The sequence below is a fragment of the Homo sapiens genome, chromosome 12 (assembly GCF_000001405.40).
Source record: "Homo sapiens chromosome 12, GRCh38.p14 Primary Assembly".
Lineage (NCBI taxonomy): Eukaryota > Metazoa > Chordata > Mammalia > Primates > Hominidae > Homo > Homo sapiens.
In genome coordinates, this window is record NC_000012.12 from 6,664,012 (window position 1) to 6,690,425 (window position 26,414).

At 46.3% G+C, this 26,414-nt stretch overlaps 1 protein-coding gene across 83 annotated transcripts, besides 4 other annotated features; it reads right to left on the reverse strand.

Moving 5' to 3' along the window:
* ZNF384 (zinc finger protein 384) lies at positions 2,466-25,561 on the reverse strand. Of its 83 annotated transcripts, none has more exons than NR_169759.1 (12): positions 25,087-25,364; positions 24,156-24,215; positions 15,444-15,514; positions 14,935-15,172; positions 14,652-14,699; positions 14,116-14,449; positions 13,156-13,248; positions 12,776-12,840; positions 9,205-9,429; positions 6,749-6,827; positions 5,020-5,178; positions 2,466-4,104 (listed from the first exon to the last, which is right to left on the reverse strand). NR_169759.1 is itself a non-coding variant. In NM_001385743.1 (12 exons), exons 3-12 carry the CDS (start codon positions 15,507-15,509, stop codon positions 3,703-3,705), a joined length of 1,827 nt encoding a protein of 608 aa, NP_001372672.1. In that variant the 5' UTR covers positions 15,510-15,514; positions 24,156-24,215; positions 25,357-25,561; the 3' UTR covers positions 2,466-3,702. The 83 variants fall into 83 exon arrangements, 78 of the variants coding, with proteins under 78 accessions (NP_001372672.1, NP_001372675.1, NP_001372674.1 ...); NR_169761.1 differs by having other exon boundaries at positions 24,826-25,364; NM_001385743.1 differs by lacking the exon at positions 12,776-12,840 and adding an exon at positions 8,339-8,521 and having other exon boundaries at positions 25,357-25,561.
* Positions 25,213-25,322: a silencer, noted in NCBI's record as "silent region_4177". NCBI's record gives its function as "represses an Ori minimal core promoter by ATAC-STARR-seq in GM12878 lymphoblastoid cells {active_cell/tissue: GM12878}" and the evidence as "EXISTENCE:reporter gene assay evidence [ECO:0000049][PMID:35858748]".
* Positions 25,213-25,842: a biological region, named in NCBI's record as "NANOG-H3K27ac hESC enhancer GRCh37_chr12:6798393-6799019".
* Positions 25,216-25,842: an enhancer, noted in NCBI's record as "NANOG-H3K27ac hESC enhancer chr12:6798393-6799019 (GRCh37/hg19 assembly coordinates)". NCBI's record gives its function as "activates a minimal SCP1, AML or CMV promoter by ChIP-STARR-seq in naive and primed H9 embryonic stem cells {active_cell/tissue: H9 hESC(naive and primed)}" and the evidence as "EXISTENCE:reporter gene assay evidence [ECO:0000049][PMID:30033119]".
* Positions 25,403-25,482: a silencer, noted in NCBI's record as "silent region_4178". NCBI's record gives its function as "represses an Ori minimal core promoter by ATAC-STARR-seq in GM12878 lymphoblastoid cells {active_cell/tissue: GM12878}" and the evidence as "EXISTENCE:reporter gene assay evidence [ECO:0000049][PMID:35858748]".

The following is a 26,414-nucleotide window of genomic DNA, read 5'->3' on the forward strand; positions in this document are numbered from 1 at the left end:
TTTTGTATTTTTAGTAGAGATGGGGTTTCTCCATGTCGGTGAGGCTGGTCTCGAACTTCCGACCTCAGGTGATCTGCCCACCTCAGCCTCTCAAAGTGCTGGGATTACAGGTGCGAACCACTGTGCCTGGCCCCTCTTGCTACTCTCTAAGGGGGAAATCTCGTGTTTTTGTTTTCCTTTTGTTTATATGTGATGTTAGCATCATAATTCTGAAGGGATTGAGGGATGCAGCAGTATCACTACTGGGCTAGTTGGCTAGTTAGTTGCTAGCCATCACTCTAGTCAGCTATGGTAGAGTGATTTCTATGGTTTTCATCAGAATGGGAAGCAGTCAAGGGTATGAGAGGCTGCCAACACACTAGGCTGTCAACACACTGCCAACACAAAGGCCATAACCTAATAGTGGTGTTAGTAAGATAGTATTTTAGAGATAGCTGCCACCCCTCACACTTTTCGTACCCTCACACATCCTTCATAAGAATTACCAATGTCTTACGGCAAGTTTTTAAAGAGACAGACTTTCAGCTATATAATTTCTACCAAATATGTGGAGAAGAGGAACTTCCAACCCGGGGCGGATTGGAAGTTGCTTTGTTTTGCTTCGAGATGGATGCAGGGATGTATTTGAAACATTATCTGGACAGTAAGAGCAGGCTGGAGGAGGGGGTTCAGGGGCTGTAGAGTGGTGGGGGTATCAGAGCTGAAAGGATCTGTAGCCTGTAAACCCCAGGTTTACTAGTGTGCAGGTAGTAAGATACAGCAATAGAATCCGGGAAACTGCTCTAATTACAAAAGTCATGCTTTTCGGTAACTTGATCTCTGTGCCTGTTTTACTATACAATGAGACTACTACCTCCCTCATAGGGTTGTTGGAATAAGTGAGTGTGAGTGTATCCATAAAAAGAGTAGATTCTAGTTCTAATACTGGTGATGAAGTTAGGGCCATTAGGGCCTTTTCAAGAGTTGGTGAGAGTGGGAGGAAAAAGCAGTAAATATGCAGGGAGCTAAGAAACATTGGCATATTTGGTCATATGTGATACATTCATTGGTATTACACAACATATTGAGACACCATCTTAGGTGCCCACACAGGATATCTAGCACTAAATTAAGTGGGCTTTATTTATCCCAGCCCAACTACATAACAAGTACTATTGGCCAGCAGTCCCAGAGTTCTCAGGATGTGGGAGCTTGGTCACAACTTTCACAACTTTTTCGGTGCTTAAAGCAAGGTTTTTTTTTTTTTGTTTTTTTTTTTTTTTCCAGACAGAATCTCGCTCTGTGGCCCAGGCTGGAGTGCAGTGGTGCAATCCCGGCTCACTGCAACCTCCGCCTCCCAGGTTCAAGTCATTCTTCTGCCTCAGCCTGCAGCTGGGACTACAGGCGCGTGCCACCACACCTGGCTAATTTTTGTATTTTTATTTTACTTTTTTGAGAGAGAGTCTCACTCTGTCGCCCAGGCTGGAGTGCCATGGCACGATCTTGGCTCACTGCAACCTCTGCCTCCTAGGTTCAAAAGATTCTCCTGCCTCAGCCTCCTGAGTAGCTGGGATTGCAGGCGCCCACCACTATGCCTAGCTTATTTTTTGTATTTTCAGTAGAGACGGGGTTTCACCATACTGGCCAGGCTGGTCTCGAGCTCCTAACCTCATGATTCACCTGTCTCGGCCTCCCAAAGTGCTGGGATTACAGGCGTGAGCCACCGTGCACGGCCATCAATTTTTGTATTTTTAGTAGAGATGGGGTTTCACCATGTTGGCCAGGCTGGTCTTGAACTCCTGACGTCAAGTAGTCTGCCTGCCTCGCCCTCCCAAAATGCTGGGATTACAGGCGTGAGCCACCGCACCCAGCCTTAAAGCAAGTTACTTAATTCTCAAAAAAGGTATCTTCAGAGTTATCTAGTCCAATCCCTTCACTAACAGTTGAAGAAGCACCCTGGCCAACACTGGTTGATGGTAGGCAAAGGGCTGAAGTCCAGGTTTCATGACCACATTCTACTCCATAGTACTACAGCTCTCCTGCATAAATCAATCTTGCACCCCTTAACCGGTTATGATTTCCACAAGGTAACAAATACACATATGTATACACATTGCCAACTGCAAGCCCCTCTTCCACAGACTCAGGCAGGAGTGTAGGTCCTTTCAAGAGGCTTCCATTTTTCTTCCATAGGGAGCTTAGCTGTTTTGTTAACACATAACCAAAGCCTTGCTCTCACATATTTAGGCAATGCAATCCCCATGACAGAATGTGTATGTAGAAGTCCTCATAAACCAGGATTTCACTGGAGACATCATGAAACTGTACCCTTCCATGACTGGAGAATTGCACAAATGGGGCATCATCACACAAGCACTTGTTCATCACACACACACTCTGGTATAAATCCTCAGTACTGTTCTTGGACATCTCCCCAAATACCTTTTCCGCATGCTCGCTCACATCAGTAGCTCCACTGCCTCTGATCCTTTTACATGAATTTATTTCTATACAATGTTCTAAAAACACCCCTTGGTTTGTACATAAGTTTTTTTCTTTTTTTCTTCATTTTTAAATTACTTTATAACAACTGGTTTCCTGATTTTTTTTTTAATTTCCTTTCCTCTGAAATCTGCCATGATTTAAAAAAAAAAAAAAAAGACAAAAAGAAAAATGCTGTGGCTAGAGGACAGGGGTGGAGAGAGGGAAAAAAAGGACAAAAATAAACAAAACATCAAATATGAAAATTCTCAGAGATAATGCATTTATAAACACAGAAATGGTTACAACAAAGATGGCCGTGATGAGTGAGTATAATATATTTATATATATATATTTATATATAAATCCGTGTCCGGCATCTGACTGTGGCACCTAGGGAGCTAAGTCCAGTCCTTGCGTTTGCCTTGAACTCTCCCTTCTCCGCAACACCCCTGTTTTGGAGTTTCACAGATAACACAAAGCCTCCCACAGCTCCTTGGGGGTGGGTTGGGGAGACTGAGAGTATAGGGTCTTTGTAGGCAGAGAAGGAGAGAGGCTTCAAGGAAATCCGTAAAACCATAACACACACTTCTAAGCCACCTGTGACCAACTTGGGAATTTCTGGCCCCTTGGGGACCACATCTCAGCCCTTGCCCCCTTCAAATAAAAGGAGGTCTAGCCCCTACCCCAAATCTCCTTCTACCAGCAGTCAATAGGAAGCAAAGTGAGACGATGTAGGGGAAGAAATGGCTCTCAGGGACTGAGGCATTTGAGAAACCTCTGTTCTTTTGCAGGCAAGAATAGAACAAGAGGCTGGTTGCATTTGGGGCTCCCTTTTCTCTGTTATCTGGGAGGGCCAGCCTCTAGTCTTACATCAGCCCAAACTTTGAGGATAAGGAGGGTAAGGATAGGGTAAGTGGCCACACTGGACAAGGTTCTATGAGGTCATAGCAAATCCTTCCCTTGAGCACCGACCCCCAGTTTTAGAAGCTTTGCTTGGGAGGGGAGGCTGCTGGATGACACCATCAGCTCAGTATTCCTTTGCAATCAGGAGGGCTGATGTTCCTTTTGAAGAAGAGTTCAGAAAAAGGATGGTATCCTGTGAAGGAAAGCCGTGACAGAGGCCCAAGGAGATGGAGCCAAGGCCTGTCAAGGAAGAAAAGGACTTTTCCCACCAAGAGTTGGAGAAAGAAGACACCAGGACTACTTCTTCCTCTTCCCAGTGGGTGGCAGCACGGATCTCTAAGAGCTGGCCAGGTGCTCCACCTGGATGGTGCTGGTGGTGACAGTGAGGCAGATGTCCTTATGATGCTCCGCCGTCTTATACGGGGTCAGGTCAAAGGAACACTGGGGTGGAGGGTTGGGATTGCTGTCCCCACCACCCCCACCCTGGGGGGCTGCCCCAGGAGACTGGAAGTGTGGTGGTGGCTGTTGCTGCTGCTGCTGCTGCTGCTGCTGCTGCTGCTGCTGCTGCTGTGATGCCTGGGAGGCCTGGGCCTGGGCCTGGGCTTGAGCCTGAGCCTGAGCCTGGGCTTGAGCTTGAGCCTGGGCCTGGGCCACTGCTGCCGCTGCTGCTGCTGCCTGCACCTGTTGCTGAAGATCAGGCGGGTTGTGTTTGCGCATATGTTTCATAAGGTATGTTTCCTGAGGGAGATGGTAAAAAGAAGTTGAGGGATAAAGAGGAAGGAAAAGAGATTACTTGTAACTAGCACCCCAGGCTCTGATTCTGCTGTAAGCAGAGTAAGCTTTATACTGGTTTTCTGGAGCCAAGACTGAGCAAAACTCAAGTAGCACTTTCAGTGGCTCACTACTGAGAAAAAAAAGAGAGGAACCTTTAGAAGTCACTCAACATTCAACTGGCAAAGGAATGAGCTGCTATTTTTTTCAAAGACCCCTGAATGAAACAACTTTACAACCTTTTCTGGAGTCTCATGGAAAATATCTAACTGGGCCAGGTGCGGTGGCTCACACCTGTAATCCCAGTACTTTGGGAGGCTGAGGTAGGTGGATCACTTGAGGTCAGGAGTTTGAGACCAGCCTGGGCAACATGGTGAAACCCCATGTCTACTAAAAATACAAAAAGTTGCTGGGCATGGCAACATGCACCTGTAATCCCACCTACTTGGGAGGCTGAGGCAGGAGAATCGCTTGAACCCAGGAGGTGGAGGTTACAGTGAGCCGAGCCGAGATCACACCACTGCACTCCAGCCTGGGTGACAGGGCGAGACTGTGTCTCAAAAAGAAAAAAAAAAAAAAAAGAAGAAGAAAATGCCTAACTGAAATCCAGCTCCCCTCAAAATTTCAAGTGGCTTTATTTTGCCTTATGTTTAAGTAAAATGAAGAATTACAGCTTATGCGTCTCTATAGGATTAGGAGATCAGGCATCCCCTAAATTCCTCAGAATGGGTCTAATTAATTTCTGAATATTTACCTGTTCTGCTAAGTTGGAGCTAGGGAGGCAGGGTATTCACTGCAACAGATCTCTACCCAGAAAATGGGGTGAAGTGGACTGTACTCTTAGAGGACTATGAGGAAGGAGAGAAGAAACGGAGCACTCACTGATGTGTATGCCCGACTGCAGATAGTGCAGGTGTACACCTTGGCATGCTTCACTGTGTGCGTAGACAGGTGCACCTCTAGTGAGGCTGCATCCGTGTACGCCCGATGACAGTTGTGGCACTTGAAGGGTTTATCTTTGTTGTGTTGCCGTCTGTGGGACTGAGAAAATTGGGAGAAACCAGAATGAATACATTGTACTCTTTCCTCCTGCCCCCTTGACCTCGATGGAAAGCAAAAAGGTAGGTGTCAGGCCTCCCAGCTTCTCCCTCTATCTGAAGAAAGTAGAAATTGTTTCAAATGAAACTTGAGAAGCTACAGGCTAAGGGTGGAAGCATACCTCATGTAGCACATACCAGGATCCCAAGACAGCTTATGCCCGTCTCACCAGTCCAGTGGTTCTTAAAATGAGGCATGGGGATCTTTAGGGAACACTAAGACCTTCACAGGGGGCCCACAGGGTCAAAACTCTTTTTTTTTTTTTTTCCCAGATGAAGTCTCTCACTCTGTCGCTCAGGTTGGAGTGCAGCGGCACAATCTCGGCTCATTGCAACCTCCGCTTCCCGGGTTCAAGCGATTCTCCTGCCTCAGCCTGCAAGTAGCTGGGACTACAGGCACATGCCACCAGGCCTGGCTAATTTTTTTTGTATTTTTAGTAGAGACAAGGTTTCACCGTGTTGGCCAGGCTGGTTTCCAACTCCTGAGCTCAGGTGATCCGCCCGCCTCCGCCGCCCAAAGTGCTGAGATTACAGGTGTGAGCCACCGCGCCCAGCCAAATCTTTTCAAAATAATAAGACAATGTTTGCCTTTGTCTCTCTTGAACCTGGGAAGTTGCAGTAAGCTGAAATCACACCACTGCACTCCAGCCTAGGTGACCCAGCGAGCCTCTGTCTCAAACACGCACACGCGCGCGCGCACACACACACACACACACAAACACAAAGATGAAAAACCTAACTGAAATCTTGTTCCCCTCAAAATTTCAAGTGGCTTCATTGTGCCTTATGTTTTACATGTAACCCTTACAGAGGTTACATGATGTGTGATAACACAATAGGCCAGATGCAGCAGATCTGAGAATCTACTCATCTTCTAGCTTAAGACATTAAAGACCCCTGTGCCAGGTGCGGTGACTCATGCTTGCAATCCTAGCACTTTGGGGAGGCTGAGGCGGGAGGATGGCCTGTGTCCAGGAGTTCGAGACCAGCCTAGGGAAGATAGCAAGACCCCATCTCTACGAAAATGAAAAAAACAGCCAGGTGTGATGGTGCATGCCTAGAATCCCAGCTACTTGGGAGGCTGAGGTGGAAGGATCACTTGAGACCGGGAGGCTGAGGCTGCAGTGGGCCATGATAACACCACTGCACTCAGCCTGGGTGACAGAGCAAGGTCCTGTCCCAAAAATAAAAAATAGACACCTGCAAAAATGTATAATAATGCCATTCTTCTCACTCAGTTGTTTTTGGAGGGTCTTGGAATATGTTATTTATGTTAACACACAATGGGTTTATTTTTGTTCTTTCTAAACAGATTACTATTATAAATATTTTTCAGGTTTTTCAGTTTTACAACGTCTATGTAGACAGCTATTACCCACATAAACAAAAACTCTTTGGGTCCCTCAATAATGTTTGAGTGTAAAGGAGTCCTGAAAACATTTGAGAACCACGATACTATTCAAATGGCCCCATGTCTCAGACTCAAGGTCTTGTGTGGAGGGTGGAACATTTACCTGCAGATTGGAGAGTTGTGTGAAGGCTTTCTCACAGCCTGGGTGTGCACATTTGTATGGTCTATCACCAGTGTGGATTCTGCACAGGATAAGAGAAAAAAGGGAAAGAATGTCAGCAAGACCATTTAGGAACTGGCTCAACAAATCTTCTCCAGGCCCATCCTGCTCTCCTAAGGAGGCACATCAGATGGGCCTCCAAGAGGCACCAGCCTTCCTCTCTGATGTGGATCAGGTACTGATGATTTGCTTCTGGTCAATGCCTGCATCACTCAGCTCAAGCTGAGGCTCCTCTCTGCTGGGGGAGGAGAGACTGAGGACTTGGCACCCAAGGAACAGGCAGCCCACAATTTGGCATTCAAGTCAGCTCCTACAGTAACTGTCCTAACGAACATTCAAGAACACAAGATAAACACAATGGCAAGGAAAAAGAAAAGCAGAACGCGTCTTCCTTGGCCCCACCTTATGGCCAGAAACAGTCCCCTCAGCCTTGAGCATCACTTCCAGAGAATGTTATGGTAACAAAGAAAAGCAGTTACACTGATTGTGGAGAGTAGTAGTGATATTAATGGAAACTCATGAAAACTAAGTGCTTTTTGCAGCCCAGCCCCCTAATGACAGGAAATGCCTAGTTTAGTACCAATGTGACCTCTCTCCCCAACACCACAGGGCCCTCTGCTAAGATGAGCCAAGGACTTGAGGGTGCAGTGACACCTGCTCCTCATCAGCGACTTCAGAACCATCTCTATGACCAGGTGCTTTTCGGGACCTCTGGTATAAAATCTCAAAAACATCACAGGACGTGTCTCTTATTTGTGAGGAAAGCCTGACTCCTCCTCTTCTCAAAGCAAGATGTCTGATCACTTTAAGGTGAGATCATCACATCCACAAGAAGCCGGGTGAGACGGTCTATGGCCTGTAAGTCTGGACTCCAGTTCAACTTGAGATAGCACCAAAGATCATCACTTCTAGTTGGCAGGTTCCCTTCTTCCTAGTCACTCCAGATTCACGGGATAAACACTGGGCATCTTTATGAAGCATAAGCGTTTTCATTTTCTGTTTGCTGATTCTCTCTGAACATTTAGTACGTGTTTTCTTTTGTTCTCTACTCCTGGCATCCCTCAGAGCCTTGCTTGTTGCTGTGGGTGTCACCAGGCTGGTGCCCAGCTAATGTCTGATTTTATTTCCTGTTCATAATTGGTGCCCTAAGGGCTAGAGGTATGGTCTTCTCCACTCAAATGCCTCTGTTTTGGCATCAAGGGGCAAATCTTCCAAGATGGGTACATGAGTATTTTCAGGGAGGAAAATTAGAGAAAAGTTGTTTCTACTCCAGGTACGTGTCTGTCTCCCATGGATCAGTGAATATCATATAGTCACTGCAGCTCCCCGACGTAGCTCTTGCCCCAGAGAAGCTCTGTGTCCACTTGAATCTCCAGTGTTGTTTGGTCTTCCTTCTCCCAGATGCCAGCCAGGTCTCTCCTCCAGCCAGGTCTCTCCCCCGCCCCCCGCATGCGGGTTGTTGTGTGTGTCCGGGGCGGGGGTGGGGAGGGCATGCCAGCGGGGCGGGGTCAGTAGCCCGCCACTCTCCCTTACCGTGTGTGCTGCTGGAGGTGGGAGAGCTGGCGGAAGGCCTTCTGGCAGTAGGAACAGTTGTAGGGCTTGGCCCCCGAGTGGATACGGAGGTGCTGGGCCAGGTAGGAGGTGTTGGCGAAGGTCTTGGAGCAGTGCGGGCACTTGTGGGGCTTGATGGTCTCCGTGTGCATCTTGGAGTGGATCCTGCCGGAGAGGAGAGGAGGGAAGGGGGGAGGAGGAAGCAGTTCGACACCAGGGGCTCAGCTCTCTGCTGGGTGAAATGACGTTGCTTGACGGATGAGAGCACCCCCTTCCTCCCTCCTCCCAAAAACACTCCAGCCTGGATAGGCAAATGAAGAGGACACCCAGATCTAGGTTGTTGCTGATCGTAAGTCGGTGGCTAGAATGGCAGTGAGATGATGAAGAGCTGCAACCCATGGCTCCTGGTAACCTTAAAGTAGTCAATCTCATCAACCCTCCGCTTTCTCCTAAGGTTAACACACTCACCACAGACACCCTGCTTCCAAATAGTAATCTGAACAAAGACCAATACCGCCTGTTCCCCATGGACCTGAAGTTGAATGCACACCTTGGCTCTGAACTGAAGCATATAGTAAAAGCAGGCCTGCTCTGCAGAAGATTTCCAAACACAGACACAGAGAGAAACCACAAAAATTGTTCCAGACTTTGGAATTGGAGACCACAATTTTCAAGGCCCCCCAAATAGCTAGGATATATAATTTCCACAGACAGTAATAGGAGGTTGAGGCTACCAATGGGCAAAGGTGAAAGGGAAAGAATAATACATGTGGAGAGAGGAGTAGGTGCAGGCAACATGGTCTTAGGGTTCACGGCCAGGTGGTGGGGTAAACCAAGAGCAGCCTTACCGGGTGTGCTGCTGAAGGTGGGAGAGCTGGCGGAAGGATTTCTCACAGAAGTTACAACTGTAGGGCTTAGCCCCTGAGTGTATACGGATGTGCTGGGCCAGGTAGGAGCTGTTGGCGAAGGTCTTGGAGCAATGTGGGCACTTGTGGGGCTTGGTCTCGGTGTGTGACTTGGAGTGGATCTGCATCTCCGACTTGGAGTAGAATGTCAGTGAGCACATCCGGCACCTGAGCCAAGTGAGGGCAATGGTTAGAACCCTTCCCATCAAGAAGGTGTGGCTGAACCCTCCCCTCTACTTCCAAGAGAAGCCCACCTATCTGAGGTCTCTCCTACTCCAACTTGAGAGTAGAGCTCTATATATTCATCTTTATGGCCTAAGCTTCTAACATGGTGCCCAGCACATTATAAATATTCAATAAATGTTTGCTGAATGACTGGACTGCCTCCATGTGCAAAAATGTATTTCAACCAGATAAAACAGAAACAGTATGAACTCTGGGCAGATGCGAATTTCAATGGGCCAGGAATATCAGTTAACTTGTTTGCCTTCTGCTTACAGCTTGATTTCAAACATTTAAGGAATTCCTTGCTCTGATGTTCCTATGTATGAAGCACATGCCTCTGTATTCCTCAAGACCCCGAGATGATAATGAGGAACAACTAACTGGATCCTCTCCTGTCTCCATAGATAATTTTCTTCCCTCAGATTTTCCCCTACTTCCTTTTTGGCAGCGATTCCTAGAGGGATGGGGGTGAGGAAGTATCAGAATTATTTGGAGGGGCTTTTTCAAACCAGGTATGTCTGCTCTCCACCCTCTTATCTGATGTTGCATCCATCATCTACCCACCCCTTGCCCACAGCCCCTTGACAATCAAGTGAAAACCACTTTTGCAATGACCAACGTAGCTGCTAGGGGAAGGTGCCATCCCTCAAGCATTTGGGAGAAAAATGATTACAAAACACCTATCTTCCACGCTAAACCTTTCCTCTTCCCTAGCACATGGAGCCAGTGTCAGCACTCTGGGTTGACATCAGTAGCACCTGATCGTACTTTCACTCATCCCAAGCTGGTAATCCTTTCCACTCTGGTATTGTCCACCAAATATCAATAAGGAGGCCTCTGAGCAAGTTAAGCCACAACTATTCAGACTTTACTGAGTAAAAGCTATCTTTCATTTTCGTAAACAATTCACCAGTGTAAAATGGGAGCTGGTAGAAAAGGCAATGGCCTGGAAGCCAGGCAATTAGCACAAGTCCCTCTTCTTTGGGTTCTCCCTAACTTATCTTCTTAAGAGAGGCTTCAGATGGTGTGGGATCATGATTTCTGCACTTTTTTCATCTCAGGAGAATTTTTTAGTTACCAGCTTATTGATCCCTGGCAGTTGTCTGAGATGCCCAATCATTGCAGGAGAGAGGGGGAGGCTCTGTTTATAGTGAGCATAATCCAAAGGACACAACCAGTGGGAATCAGGATGCCTGGGTTCTACTCAGGCTTCAGTTACAAACTTGCTCATTAACAGACCTCAATTTTCTGGTCTGTAAAATGGAAAGATAAATTTTTGCCCCCAGAAGGGCGAGCAAATGCCTAGGACAGTCAAAGGTAAGCCAAGTATTCTCCAGTAATAAAACTGCATTCATCTTAAGCCTTAGTGCTGATGGACAAGCTCATGCTAGTAAATATTTCACTAAGACTGAAGTTAGAAGCTGGACACATTGTCCCTTGAAGGGCAACTGTACTAAAGTTGCAAACTAATTTCCCTTGATGCTACAATTTCTCAGACAGGTAGAACATATTTATTTTAACCCAAATAAAATCTCGTCAATTTGTGTGTGAGGGTGTTCAATACACAATTCTGCCCTTAACATTAAGGTTAATTTTAAAAAATAATAATAACCCACTTAGTCAAAGTTTCCAATAAGAGAACTTGCAAAACTTAAATTCATTTATAATGTGCTGGCAAGGGAATGAGCAATCTCAGAAGACACTAGGTATAATAATGATGATGACCACAATGATAATAGTTGCCATTTGTTGTTATGCCTGACAGTGCCAGGCACTAGGTTAGGCACTTCAGACACATTGTTTCTACTCCTCACAACCTGGCAAGTCTTATCCATGTTTTTACAGAAAGGAACACAAAGACTCAGAAAGTAAGTAATTTGCCAAAGGGCAGTTATTCACTACAAAGCCATGATGCCAGCCTACTTTAAGATTCTTAACACCAGAGGTATTCAAGCAGAGGTTGGAATCATCTGCCAGGAAGGGACTGACCAAGGAGATCATTAAAATATTTCCAACTTGAAAATCCTATGAAGTCAAGTAAGAGAGTCCTCTAATGCAAGGTGCTGGGTGGTTGGAAAGAAATTTAGTTTTGGAGAGTCGTGGCAGTCAGCAGGGGATAGAAAAGCCAGCATCCATATCATGGGGTGCCTTCCTCCAGGGGCACCATTCACATCCAACACAATGAGAACGGGACCCCTTGGAAGCATGCAATGCAATGGCCTTGATTATAATAATTACAAGTATGGCCACTTTGAATTATTATCCATTTTTCCTAAAATGCTCAAAACAATTTCAAATATTCTGACTTTGCCTCAAAACATTTCTACAAGACAGATGAAGGCATGGCTGATCTTCCCATTTTATATATGGGAACAAAGAGTGGGAGATACGTTGACTTGACCAGAGTAACAGAACCCAACTGCCCCAATAGCCAGTCAAATGCTACTGACCACTGAAGAGGGTATGGCTGACCCACACATGCATCAAAACAGAAATTCACTGTGATAAAAAGATTTCTTTTGCCAGGCACAGTGGCTCACACCTGTAATCCCAGCACTCTGGGAGGCCGAGGCAGGCAGATCACCTGAGGTCAGGAGTTCGAGACCAGCCTGGCCAACGTGGTGAAACCCTGTCTCTACTAAAAATACAAAAGAATTAGCTGGGCGTGGTGGCGCACCTATAGTCCCAGCTACTCGGGAGGCTGAGGCACGAGAATCGCTTGAACCTGGGTGGCAGAAGTTAAGAGTGAGTTGAGATTGTGCCACTGCACACCAGCCTGGGCGACAGAGCGAGACTCCGTCTCAAAAAAAAAAAAATTTCTTTGGAATGTCAAGAGTTCTGAGTTTCTGAAGAAATTCTGTTTACCTAGGATACAATAAGTCTCCCTTCAATTTCAAAGTTCTTTGTAGTCTCCTGGGTGGATGGTCATTCAGGAATTCCAAAAATACTGAATGTGTGAAAAGCCCCATGAGGCTTTCTTCCAACTGTATATGTGCATTTCTTTTAATATATACAGTTTGGAAAGTCCAGAGATAGCTTTAATGTGGGTCACAGTGAAGAAAGGGCAGAATGAGAGGACCCTGATCCATTAGAAGGGCTCTATAGAGTGTTAAAGGATCCTTCTACTACTTCCACAAATTGTATATAGATGTATCTCCATCTCACAATGGCCTCATTTTAAACAAACACATAAAAATCTAGATTTCTATACGATAACTTAAAAGGGATTTTAATTTTATGAACTGATATATAAGAGAATGCCTTTAAATGAATCAAACTTGTCAGGTACCTTTATAATATGATATGATGGAAACATTTTCCAGGAACACTTTTATTGTATAAAGTGGGGTACACCTGTAATAATAAAGCTGCAATGAACTTTTGGATTATGAGCTGGAATTCTGCAGTGCTCAATTCTGCATAGCAACACTCCTCTCATTTTCATTTATAAAGAGCGGTTTAAACACTCTGTAGGCTACTCTCCATAGTAGAACTATACAACACAAATAAAAATAAATGCTAAATAACTAATTTCTTAACTTTCTTTTGAAGTTCCCAACATTTCAAATCTTATCTGATATATACTCCCAACAAACGGGAGGCATAAACAGAATTATCCCCATTTTACAGATGAGGAAACTGAGGCCCAGAGAGGGGAAAAGGACTTGCCCAGGGTCACACAGCAAATTCGTGGTGGAGCCGGGAACTGAATCCATGAGCCCAAGGCTCTGTCCATTTCCTGTGCCGCAGTTCCCTTCGCTCCTAAAATGGGAACAACATTGCCCATCTGGGTACACTAAGGAACTAAGGACAGACCCAGACTCCCAGCCATGCACATCTGCCCCTGTCTATATCAAAGCTGTGACAGTAGTTATCCCACTCTATACAGTGCTACCAAACTCCCCAAACCCACTAGGGCACGTGACAGTTCTCAAAGGGATTAAAAGATGTTCAACTTTCAAAGGGCAGGGAGTTTACTTATGTAATTATTTTTGTAGAGTATCACATGCAAATACGCATATAATGCTTTTTGGTAAAGGGGAACTTAGAGGAAGTGGAGAATCAAAATGACTTTCATAAATTAGAAAGTGAGCAAAGTCATTCTTTAAGTACATATTCCAAAGGGGGAGGCATCCTATTCCTCCTACCTTCTTATGAAGGCCCCTCCCATCATCCCAACCATGCAGGGTAAGGCAGGCTCAGTGTTCAAATGCGACCCAGGAACTGGTGGATGGCACATAGGTTAGGTGCTTACTAGAAAGGTTTCTTAGAAAAATAGGAATGGAATATGTAGAAAGCAAAAAGGAGCTGCAGCCAAGAGTCTCAAACCCAGCATAAAGCCTTATTACAAGAGAGAAATTCTACTCTGTTACTAAAAAATTAGTCAGTGTTAACGACCCCCAAAACAAGGGTTAAAAAAAGGAAAGGGTGAAATGGGTCTTTGCATCCTAACACGATGCTAGCAGCTCTGCCTCCTATCCTATGATGGGACACCTGACATGCAAGTGGCTCAGAGCTGGGAAGCTGTCAGAGTGTAGCGCCTGACCGGGGCAGAACACAATGAGGGTACAGGGAGAATCACCAAGCCAGGGATCCTCGCCCCATCCTGCCCCTGGCTCTGAGTCTTACCTGTAGGTCTTGCCGTCTTTCTGATGGTCATCATCATCCTCAGGGGAGAGGACATAAGGGTCATTCATCTCGGGCAGCCCTGATTCCAGCATCCGCTTCTTCTTCCGGCCCCGGGGTGGCTTAGGAGCCACACTGCCACCTCCACCACCACCTCCGCCTCCTTCCTCGGTTAGGGTCGATGCTACCTTCTTGGAGAGGTCAGGGACAACCTGCAGGGCTTGTGAGCCAGGGGGAAGAGCTGAGACAATCATGGGAGCCGAAATGGGGAAGGTCTGAGCTGATGATGCTGTGGTCACAAGAGAGCCTGAGGGGGACGTGATTACCAAACCCGGACCTAGGATTGGGAGAAAAAGGAGATGGCGTCATGTTGTTCAGTCCTGATCCTAATCCTATTTCATTTCCCCCAGATCATTGTCTAATTAACCCCTCACCCCCCCGCCGACCCAACCCAGAGTACACAGGAAATCCCAAACCCTGTAGAAAAATAATGGTCTCCTAACCCTTGTCCCCACCCCCCTGGTAACAGTGAGATTTACCCCTTGATTGACTCCCTTCTCTTCTCCACCTCTGAGAACAGGAGACTCCTTGATTCAGAGAAGGAAAGAATGTCACCTCCTCAAAGGCAGGGACCGCATCTTCTACTTCTTTGTATCCCCCACAATGCCTAGCACATTGCTAGGCACACAGTAGGCACTTAATAAAAATTTGATTGAATAATCAAACACATATCCCACTCCCCATGTCCTTGGAGCCCTCCAGCCTGGGGTACTGATCATGGAAGATCAACACCTCAGATTGGAGAAGAGCAGAGTTGCTCACCAGCAGTCATCAGTCCTGTAGACGGCACAGGGACCACCGTGATATTCTGGGTAACGGACGCTTGGCTGTGTGGGGTCAGCTGGTCTGACTTGGACTCTGTGTCCATACTGATGCCTGAGGGCAGGGACACTGAGGCAGGCACTGTCAGCAAGGTGGGGTAGTGAGGTGGGGCCAGACCACAGCCCTTCTCTGGCAACAGCTGATCCTTCATCTTGTTGATGAACATTGTGTTCTCGATCTAAGAGAAAAGGAAGGGGACGGGAGCACCCTCTTCAGCCTGAGAGGCTGATTCTGCTTGCTCGTGAGCACACTTCAGTGTCTGTCCTCCTTAGGGATCAAGGATGAGCACTTCATACCTCTGGCCTTCTAGAGAGAAGCCCAGGCAGAAACACTAGATAATTCTCAGGGGTGGGGGACCCAGTAAAACAGCATGTGGTGTACCTTCAGTCTCCATAGTAACAGAACTTACTACTGAGACTTGGAGAGAGCAAGAAAGCAACACCACTTACCTGACCTGAGACTGTGGGGATAGAAGGCCAGAAGTACGGGTTAGAATTGAAGTGAGATTCTTCCATTCTACCTGAAGAAAAAATGAGAGAACATGTCACACTCAGGAATTACTCAGAAAAAGCTAAGCAATGGAGAAGGGGAACTGAAGAGTTCCTGGTCTCCTCTGGCACCTGATCACATGGCTGGGGACTGGCAGTCAAGACTTAGTGTCTAGCACATTAGTCCCTTGGTCAGAGCCCCTTGTCACTGTATCCCCATCCAACAGAGGCTATCCTACTTCATGACTGTGAAAGAACTTATACGTATCACATTTACTCACACAATGTTATTCATGCCCCCTAAAGAAAAACTGGTATTACTTTCCTTTGCTGGCAAAAAGAAACTGAGCTCACGAGAGGGGAGATGATGTAGCTAAGGTCACAAAAAACAAATCACTGACTGACTTGAAAACGGCCAGGTGCCAGTACCTAGCATGACTCCTCTTTCTCTTATTCTTCAAAACTATATTCCTTGAAATAGAAATTTTAGTTTTTCTGTTTTTGAGACAGGGTCTTACTCTGTCACCCAGGCTACACTGCAGTGGCACAATCATAGCTCACTGCAGCCTCAATCTTCCAGGCTCAGCCTCCCAGGGAGCTAGGCCTACAGGCCGTGTGACACTATGCCAGACTAATTTCTTTTTTCTTTAAAGTAGAGACACGGTTTTTCCATGTTGCCCAGGCTGGTCTTGAACTCCTAGGCTCAAGGGATCAGCCCACCTTAGTCTCCCAAAGTGCTGGGATTACAGGCGTGAACCACTGTGCCCAGCCAATAAAAATTTCAAGAGTTCCAACCAATATGTCTACAGTTCTGTGTAGTTTGAGAAGGTTCCAGGCCAGAACACAATACGACTAAGAAAATTAAAAAATGAAGACTGGGCATGGTGGCTCACACCTGTAATCCCAGCACTTTGGGAGGCTGAGGCAGGTGGATCATTTGACCTCAGAAGTTCGAGACCAGGCTGACCAACATGGTGAAACCCCATCTCTACTAAAAATACAAAATTAGCTGGGCGTGGTGGCACATGCCTGTGATCCCAGCTATTTGGGAGGCTGAGGCAGGAGAACTGCTTGAACCGGGAGGCGGAGGTTTCAGTAAGCTGAGATCGCGCCACTGCACTCTAGCCTGCGGAACAAGAGCAAAATTCCGTCTCAAAAAAAAAAAAAAAATCAGAATCAAAACATATTTTGAGTACCAACTACTATCTGAAGACCACACCCCACCAATCCCACCAAGGTCTAAGAACACCCACGGTGCTACACTGGGCACCACACATGCCGCGCTGAGCAGTGAGAATCAAAGCACTTCTAGTTTTAGAAAGTGTCCTGGCACTAGTAGTAACCCAGGTTTCCAAAGGGATGCAGAATAGGCATGATAGTAGGCCAGAATACACACACAGTGCCAGACTCCTGCTTCCTATTTCTCAAAAACTGTGCTTCCGGCTGGGCATGGTAGCTCACGCCTGTAATCCTAGCACTTTGGGAGGCCAAGACAGGCGGATCCCCTGAGGTCAGGAGCTCGAGACCAGCCTGGCCAACATGGTGAAACCCCATCTCTACTAAAAGTACAAGAAATTAGCCGGGGCATGGTGGCGCATGCCTGTAATCCCAGCTACTTGGGAGGCTGAGGCAAGAGAATTGCTTGAACCCAGGAGGCGGAGGTTGCAGTGAGCCAAGATTGCGCCATTGCCTGGGCAACAAGAGTGAAACGCCATCTCAAAAAAAAAAAAAAAAAACTTTCTGAGAAACAAGAAGAAAAGTAACCCCTCCGAATCATGCCAACAAATAACAGATGGGTACAGAACACAGGCATCCCACCACCCAGTTTCACATTCTGATCACTTCTCCTGGCAAGGTTTAATTGGCAGTATGTTGGTCAAGAGTAGCTTCCCAAAATCCTGGACCAGCAAAGATAGAGCCCCACAAAAGGCAAATAAGAGAGTGTGAGACTGGTGAAATGGGGAAACGAGTAACAAAAAAAGTACATAAATACACAGTATTACCAGGCTGCTACTCTGAGCAAAGCACAACCAAGGTTCAGGTGGGGAAGACCCGTGACAGGCAAGTTGACCCACTGAGGATACACTGGAGGCAAACACTAAGATACTGAGAGCTAAAGGGTAGGCTGGGCACAGAAACTCAGTTTTAAGTACTAAGGAAACAGGGAAGGATCTTCAACAAAGGCGCCGAAGCTGAAAATTACTCTAACATAACTCTGTTCCTTATCCTTTTATAGAAAACATCACTTTTTTTGTTCTATTAAACAGCACCCCCAATTTTCATAAAATCTATAAAGGGAAAAACTGTATTTCAGCCTTTTTAAAAAGTAGCGAGGGTGCAATGTACCAAATCTGTGACTACAACAGCTTCACATAAACAGGCTCGCTATTAAATGACCAAAGATCAAGTATACATCAATTCTGTTTTCTGAGTTATAAAACACAATAAAACTAATCAGTATCTGATACAGGTACTAACTTGGTCCTTCCAGCCATAGCTTTACAAAGGGGTCTTACGGCTGAGTGTGGTGGCTCATGCTTGTAATCTCAACACTTTGGCAGGCCTACGCAGGAGGATCACTTGAGGTCTGGAGTTTGAGACCAGGCTAAGCAATATATTTGAGACCGTGTCTCTAAAAAAAAAAAAATTGAAAAAAAAAAAAGAAAAAGAAAAAAAAAGAGGTGAGTGCGGTCGTGCATACCCATAATCCTAGGTATTTGGAAGGCTGAGGTGGGAAAACTGCTTGAGCCCAGGAGTTCAAGACTGCAGTGAGCTATGAACACACTACTGTACTCTAACCTGGGTAACAGAGCAAGACCCCAACTCCAAAACAAAACAAAACAAAACAAAACAAAACAAAACAAAACAAAACAAAACAAAACATGCAAGTTGCGGTGGCTCATGTGTGTAATCCCAGCGCTTTGAGAGGCTGAGGTGGACAGATTGCTTGAGTCCACCAGCATAGGCAACATGGTGAAACCCTATCTCTACAAAAAATACAAACATTTGCCAGGCATGGTGGCAGGTGCATGTAATCCCAGCTACTTGGGAGGCTAAGGCAGGAGAATCATTTAAGCCCGAGAGGCAGAGGCTGAAGTCAGTAGAGATTGCAGTCCAGTCTGGGTAACAGAGAGAAACCCTGTCTCAAAAACAAACAAAAAACAAAACAAAGCAAAGATGGGAGTCTCACGTTTTCAGGCAACAGAATCAAGATACAATCAGATCACAGTTTAAGAGAATTCAATCTTGCCAAACTTTTTGGGAAGGAGCAATCACATCTTTTACATCTGTATCTTACAAATATCCCCAACATACGACTTTATCACCTAAGACACAATTACATATTTAATGAATTGAACAACGGTAGACTACCTACATATAGATTTTGCAGACAATGCTAGGGGTTCAAGTCTCAATGCATAATCCCTGTCTAACCTTCTAGTGGAAAGAAATGACAGACAAGAGATAAGAGTGGTGATAAATGGTGGGAATTAAGTAGAGAATTAAGATGGAGAGAATGGGTGTGGTGGCTCATGCCTGTAATTCCTGCACTTTGGGAGGCTGAGGCAGGTGGATCACTTGAGGTCAGGACTTTGAGACCAGCCTGGTCAACATGGTGAAACCCCATCTCTACTAAAAATACAAAAATTAGCCAGGCATGGTGGCACACGCCTGTAATCCCAGCTACTCAGGAGGCTGCGGCAGGAGAATTGCTTGAACCCAGGAGGTGGAGGTTGCAGCGAGCCGAGATCTAACCACTGCACTGCAGCCTGGGCAACAGAGCAAGACTGTCTCAAAAAAAAAATAAAATAAAATAAAAAAGATTAAAAATAATAATTAGGAGGGAGAATAAACGAAAGAAAGGGCCAATGTATAATTTTCCCAAAAGAATCAAGGAAGTTGGCTGGGTGTGGTGGCTCATGCCTGTAATCCTAACACTTTGGGAGGGCGAGGTAGGTGGGTCACTTGAGCTCAGGAGTTCAAGATCACCCTGGCCAACACGGCAAAACCCCATCTCTAATAAAAATACAAAAATTAGCAAGGTGTGGTGGCACACACCTGTAGTCCCAGCTACTTGGGAGGCTGAGGCAGGAGAATCACCTGAGTGCAGTAAGTCGAGATTGCACCACCACAGTCCAGCCTGGGTGACAGAGCAAGACCCTGTCTCAAAAAAAAAAAAAAAAAAAAAGAATCAAGGAAGTAAAGTAAATGCACTATGGATGTGAAAACGTAGGAAGGAGGAGGCTGAGCACGGTGGCTCATGCCTGCAATCCCAGCACTTTGGGAGGCCAAGGCAGGTGGATCACAAGGTCAGAAGTTCAAGACCAGTCTGGCCAAGATGGTGAAACCTTGTCTCTACTGAAAGTACAAATATTAGCCAGGCATGGTGGCGCACGCCTGTAGTCCCAGCTATTCAGGAGGCTGAGAAAGGAGAATCACCTGAACCTGGGAGGTGGAGGTTGCAGTGTGCCAAGATCGCACCACTGCACTCGAGCCTGGGCAACAGAGTGAGAATCCGTCTCAAAAAAAAAAACTGGTGGACAATATCACCACTATCATTATCATTAAAACTTATTAAGCACTTATTGTGTTCAAGGTAGTGTTCTAAGCACTTTACAACTACTACATCATTTAGTCCCTGCAACAATGAGGTAGGTACTGTAATTCCCATTTGAAATGAGGAAACTGGAGGCACAGAGTCCAACAGTAAATAGCAAAGCAGGAATGTGAATCCAGGCACCAAAGGGCAAGTTAAGGAAAGGGGTTCTACAAGGAACCAAAACCATATAACTGTAGTACACACTTTCTGATGTTATGGCTTGATCCAGGAAATAAAATTTAGAATATTTCCAGGAATGAACTATTTTCCAGCTAGTTCTCAAAAAATGTTTTCAAAATTGAAGTTTTTGATAACAGCAAAATGACATGCAGTTCAAGGTCATATTCCTTATTCTGTGAAACCTCACTTAGCTACCAAGATAACTTACTTTAGGATGACAGAGCCTGAATAAAGAGGCCGGACTTTACAAAGGAAAATAAATAAAAAGCCCCTCCACTTACTTGGATGCCTAGTTTATTGCATCCAATAAACTGGTGTGTCTGGTCCAAGGACAAGACACTACATATGCGTTACCAGCTTCCGATAAATAGGTCAGCCCAAAAGGGAGACCACAGAGAGAACTGCTCATCCAACTATAAGCAACCTTTACCAGCAAAATGACACCTGAGAAATGCTATGCCACTGTGCTACTGATGAGGCTGACTTCATCTTTGTACTCCTGAAATGAGATCAATGGAGAGCTAAGAATCAAAACTATTGCTAGAATACAATGTAAATGGCGCCCCCTAGAGTTGTGTAACAGGGCGTTCTGGGGCCAGATCACTCAAATATCTGCTTACTGTCTGTTTTACCGCTTACTCTATCTTTCGTGGAGGAAATTTCTCCAAATCATCCCAACATTCAATCAGGCACATATCAACATTCTTATCACCCAAAGAAGCCCACTGATGTTACACAGAAAACTCATGTCTACACAGAGAGTGCCAATTTTAATGATTATGCCTATATATTTAAAGAAAGTACTTTGGGAGGCCAAAGTAAGAGAATCACTTGAGCCCAGGAATTCAAGAACAGTCTGGGCAAAATAGGGAGACCCTGTATCTACAAAAAATTAAAAAAGTAGCCGGGCATGGTGGCTCACACCTGTAGTCCCAGTTACTTGGGAGGCTGAGGCAGGAGGATTGCTTGAGCCCAGGAAGTCGAGGCTGCAGTCAGCCATTATCACGCCACTGCACTCCAGTCTGGCCAAAAGAGTGAGACCCTGTCTCAAAAAGAAAAAAAGAAAAAGAAATAGAAAGGAAAGAAAAAACAGAAGAGAAGGAAAGATATAATTTGGTGGAAAGAAAAATGCTGGCAGGCTGAAAATCTGGGTTCTCATATCAACTTTACTATTGCACCAAGCCTCAACTGTTCTGTTAATAGGAAGGGAGGTTTACTGCTGGGCGAGGTGGCTCACACCTGTAATCCTAGCACTTTGGGAGGCCGAGGCAGGTGGACTGCCTGAGCTTAGGAGTTCAAGACCAGCCTGGGCAACATGGTGAAATCCCATCTCTACTAAAATACAAAAAATTAGCTGGGCATGGTGGCATGCGCCTGTAATCCCAACTACTCAGGAGGCTGAGACAGGGAATTGCCTGAACCTGGGAGGTGGAGTGGAGGTTGCAGTGAAAGGAGATCAGACCACTGCACTCCAGCCTGGGCGACAGAGCGAGACTCAGTCTCAAAAAAAAAAAAAAAAAAAAAAAAAGAAGGCAGGTTTACTCTAATTAAGTTGGAGAGTAATTTTCTCTTAAGAGACACAAGGAACTACATATTCCTTCTCCAATCTCAAATCTCAGAAGCCCTCAGGAGATAAAGAAGAGAGACACTATCAAGTATTAATAATAGTCGTGAAACACGGTAGGACTTGAACTCTTGGCCCAGAGCTTTGTCTATCTGACCACATCCTTCCGTAATGCTACCAACCATCCAGGGATAAAGATGACATGGCCTCCAGCAGGTGTTTTTGGCAGATATGGTGAAGACCACCATCTCTTTCCCAGAACCCACTAATTGTTTTTTTACTGTTGTTTTTTCAAATAAAGCATGATTTTCTTTCCCCAAGAAAACAGCATTCCCTTAACACAACCAACCCTTAGAAAACCATGAAATACACTCATCAAGTTCAGTAGCTAGAGAATGGCCTTGGGAATCAAGACTTCTGAATTCTTTTTTTATGAGACAGAGTCTCATTTTGTTGCCCAGGCTGAAGTGTAATGGCGTGATCTCAGCTCACTGCAACCTCCACCTCCTGGGTTCAAGCAATTCTCCTGCCTCAGCCTCCCAAGTAGCTGGGATTACAGGCGCTTGCCAACACATCTGGATAATTTTTGTATTTCTAGTAGAGACGGGATTTTGCTATGTTGGCCAGGCTGGTCTTGAACTTCTGACCTCAGGTGATCCGCTCTCCTCAGCCTCCCAAAGTGCTGAGATTACAGGCGTAAGCCACCGTGCCCGGCCAAGACTTGTGAATTCTAATTCTAGGTCCTATATCAGTGGATGACTCTTAACTATTTAAGTGGATGAATTAACCATTTTACTAGGTTTCTATCAGGATGGAGGATGGAAGAGGATGAGGCCTGTATAAATAAGTTTGTAAGGCATATGGTGATGAGATAAAGGCAGCACAAAAAAGAGAAAGAATGAAATGCCCCAAGTGCTCCTGAAAAGAAGAGTTACAGAAACACTTCCACAAGATGAGGACTATTAGCGACAATTAGTGAAAATTACATAAGGACTACATAATTACAAAGGAACTACCCAAAAGTAACAAATCTATAGCCTCCGGTTTAGAAATCATCTACAAGTAGCATCAACAAGAAAAAGATGGAAAAAAACAATCAACTTGAATTCAACTACAGAAAGAACTTAAGACGCTATTGAGAAACCATTCCAAAACACACAACTGCAGAAAGGTTACCTTAGCTCAAGACTTGAAATGAAGAAACACAGAGAAAGTTTTTTTTGTTTCTCCAAAAGGAAACAAAATCTCTTTCTCTCAGGGTCTAAAGACATTCAAGAAGGGCCATCCCAGTAGGATGTGACGCTTTCCCGCCAGTATCCATAAACTCTTCCAAGTACAAGTAACTCAGAACAAATGCACCCCAATGTTACTGGGAAACATCATCACACCATACACAAACAAACTAAACAGGACTGCTACCACCACACAGCTGGCAACCTGGGCCAACAGCTTCTAGCCTGGGCACCACCGGACCACTTTACCCTGCATCCTGTGGGAGGGACGGCACGGTGGTTCTCCTTGCCCTGTCTGTTCCACTATAAATGATGGATCTGGGGAATGTGAGGCCAAAATAAATAAATAAGACTGGAGAAGAAGAGATATGTACCCAATATTTAATCAACAACTTGGCTCAGAAACCCACAGGGCATTTTATAAACCAACCTCTGGGATCATAAGTTCTGAACTCAAACTCTTTAGGTCCACTCACTGTCATTTTCAGGCTACCCGAAACTCTTCCAGACCTACTTCTGGAGTCTACTCCGTACAGTTTTATCCACTTCACTCCAGACTAACCATGAAGCAGTTTTTTTTTTCCCCTGAAAATTTCATCTTGCCATACCAAATTCAAATAACCCTGTGTCACAGATTCTAATCACTCCACAGACCCACTTCTAACACTCCACTGGACTATTTGGGATAGGAACTCCATTCTAAACTCAGCTCTGCTTGTTCCAGACACAGGAAAGCAATTCCATAAGGACTATATTGGCATTTAGGGTCTTTGTGTCCCAAAGCAGAATAAAGATTTCCCCTTTGGACACAAGGCAACACTATTCAGTGGCTTCACCTGAGCATTTCATATTTCATTCCTGATGAGCATTAGTAGGAATGGAAAGTGATGGGGGATAGCGCCAACTTTTTACACAAAAACTTCCTGACCCTCAAGAGATAATAGAAAAAAACTGATTTCTCTCCACAACAATCTCAGCATTACAATTGCTATTACTTTAAGTATTCTATCACATTGTGAAACACACACACGCCCCATTTGGTTGTGACCCCTTCTCCCCCAAAACCAGAAAAGCCATTAACCCAAAAATCATCTTACCCTCTCTCTCTCTTCCTCCTGCCGTCTTATTCCTTCTCCTTTCCAGGGCTCCTGAACTTTCTGTAAACAAATTGTCTAGGTTACAGGGGCCAGGCAGGGTGCAGCCACCAGAGAACTGTGGAGAACCTCAGGAATTATTTGTCAGCAGTCAGTCTGGAAGGCAGGCAGACCCCCCAGCCAGCAATCCAAAGACGGGTGGATATAATAACAGCAGTCTAGTGCTACCCTCTACGTGGATACAAGAGAAATAAATCCAATTCCCAGAAACTAAGACGAATTCTATCACCAGCGTTTGGGTTTCACTCCTAGGCTCAGAGACTGGTCCTTGTTCGTTCCCAGGCCACAGGTAACCAGGGGTCAGAGAACATTAGAGATGGAGGAGGAGGAGGGTCTGTGCCCCTGAGGAGTGGCTTCAGAAGGCAAAGCTGAGGGCTGGGGGATGCACAAGACCTTGTGGCAGGCACAGTGCCAGTTCAGGCCCAGCCACTTCCTCTAGCCTTCCCCCCACTTCTTCGAGGACTTCGCCCCCTGCCTACCCGAGGCCTTGTGCCAAGAAGTACCTCCCTCAGCCTGCACCGTGGTCTATCTACTGGAGACCCCAGCTGTCCCCTCAAAACCTTCGCTCCCCTGAGACAGTTCCTGGGAGCCTTCTCCTGATGTCGTCCCCTACCCCTTTCTCAAAGACCCTTCCTTGGGACGTCCCTCCTTCCCCTCCAGGGAGCTGAACTCTGCCACCCACCAGACAGGCACCCGCCCCCTAAACCCCCCCATTCCTTCCCATCGCCCGCTCCTCCACAACCACTTCCGGTTCCGGGACGGACACACACACAGTCACATCGTGGACCCCCCCTTCCCCGCCTGCCCAAGGAAAAGGGGAGGGGGGAGGAGCAAGCAGCTTGGCGCGCGCCGGCTGTAGCGGCGCGAGACTCACCGGGCGGCGACGGCTGCGGCGGCGCCAGAGCCTGAGCCAGGGCGCGGGAGGGGCGGCGTTTGCTGGGAAAGGAGGGAGCCGAGGAGGGTGGGAGGACCAGGAAGGGGCGAGGGAGGGGAAAAAGCGCAAGGCGCAGCGCGCGGGCACGCACTTCTGGAGCGAGACAGACCCACACACTCACACGCACGGAACGCGCGCGAGACACCCGCAGGGCGGGGGCGCGAGGTAGTGGGTGGCCCCCCCTCCTTGCTGCCCTCCCCTTGCACTCACCCGGAAGTGGTGCTGCAGCTCGTGCTCCCGCGAACCCCAGTTCCTCCACGCCCCCCTCCCTCCCCCCAACAGGCTCAGAGAAGAGCTCTGCGGAGAGAAGGCGGGAGCGCCGGAAACGAAAAGGGGGGAGGGAGGGAAATAGCAATGTAGGGGGGGCGCTAATGGAGAAAGAGGGGCGTGCAGAAGCCGAGTCACTTCCGGGAGTGGCTGGAACACTTCCGGCGCCGCTAGCGCTGCGAGATATTCAGGGCAGAAGTTACGATAACTCGGGGCGGAAATAGCTTCTGCCCAGCGACTGGGAAGAGGGGATGTGACGCTATAGCGGAAGTGAAGGCGGGTTCCGCTAGGGGCAAAAGCTGAAACCGGAGGACTCCGGCCCTGAGCTTCCGGAAGGGACATCTGGGGAAGGTGGGGGGGTGGAAACGCGACAGGTTCATGAATTATCCATCAAGGTAGGAGAGGAGGTGTGGGTTCTTCAGATGCTGGGACCCCGTTTCTCTTCCCTCTGGATGTTGAATAAGCTGATGTAGGAAATTACCATTATTTTTTCTGATACCCCCAAGAATGTCTCAATGCTTTGAATATGCGGGAAAGGACTAGGACGTATCCTTGTTTTTCGGAGGTCCCTACTTAGGTCCAGTTAGAAACTCTCCCAGCCATCAAAATCTGTCTCTCTGACACATCCCTTACTTTACTTTGGTCTTTTCTTGTTGCCCATACCCACATCTCTATCCCCTTACCCTGTTTTACTTAAATATAGCACTTATTACTGCCTGATTTATTGTTTGCTGTCCACCTCTCCCAACTAAAATATTGGCTACAGGACAGCGAGGACTGAATTGTTCGTTGCTGTATCCTCATATCCTGGCAGTTAAGTGGTCTGTAAACTCTTGTTGTATAAATGAACTATAGTTCATTATGAACACCTAAATATGAACCCTTTTAGGAAGCCTTGCCTGATTGCTCCAACCTGTAATGGTCCCTCTGAATTCCCATAGTATTTAATACGTACCTTTTATTGATATTTTAACTATTTCATACATGTGATTCCCCAGCAA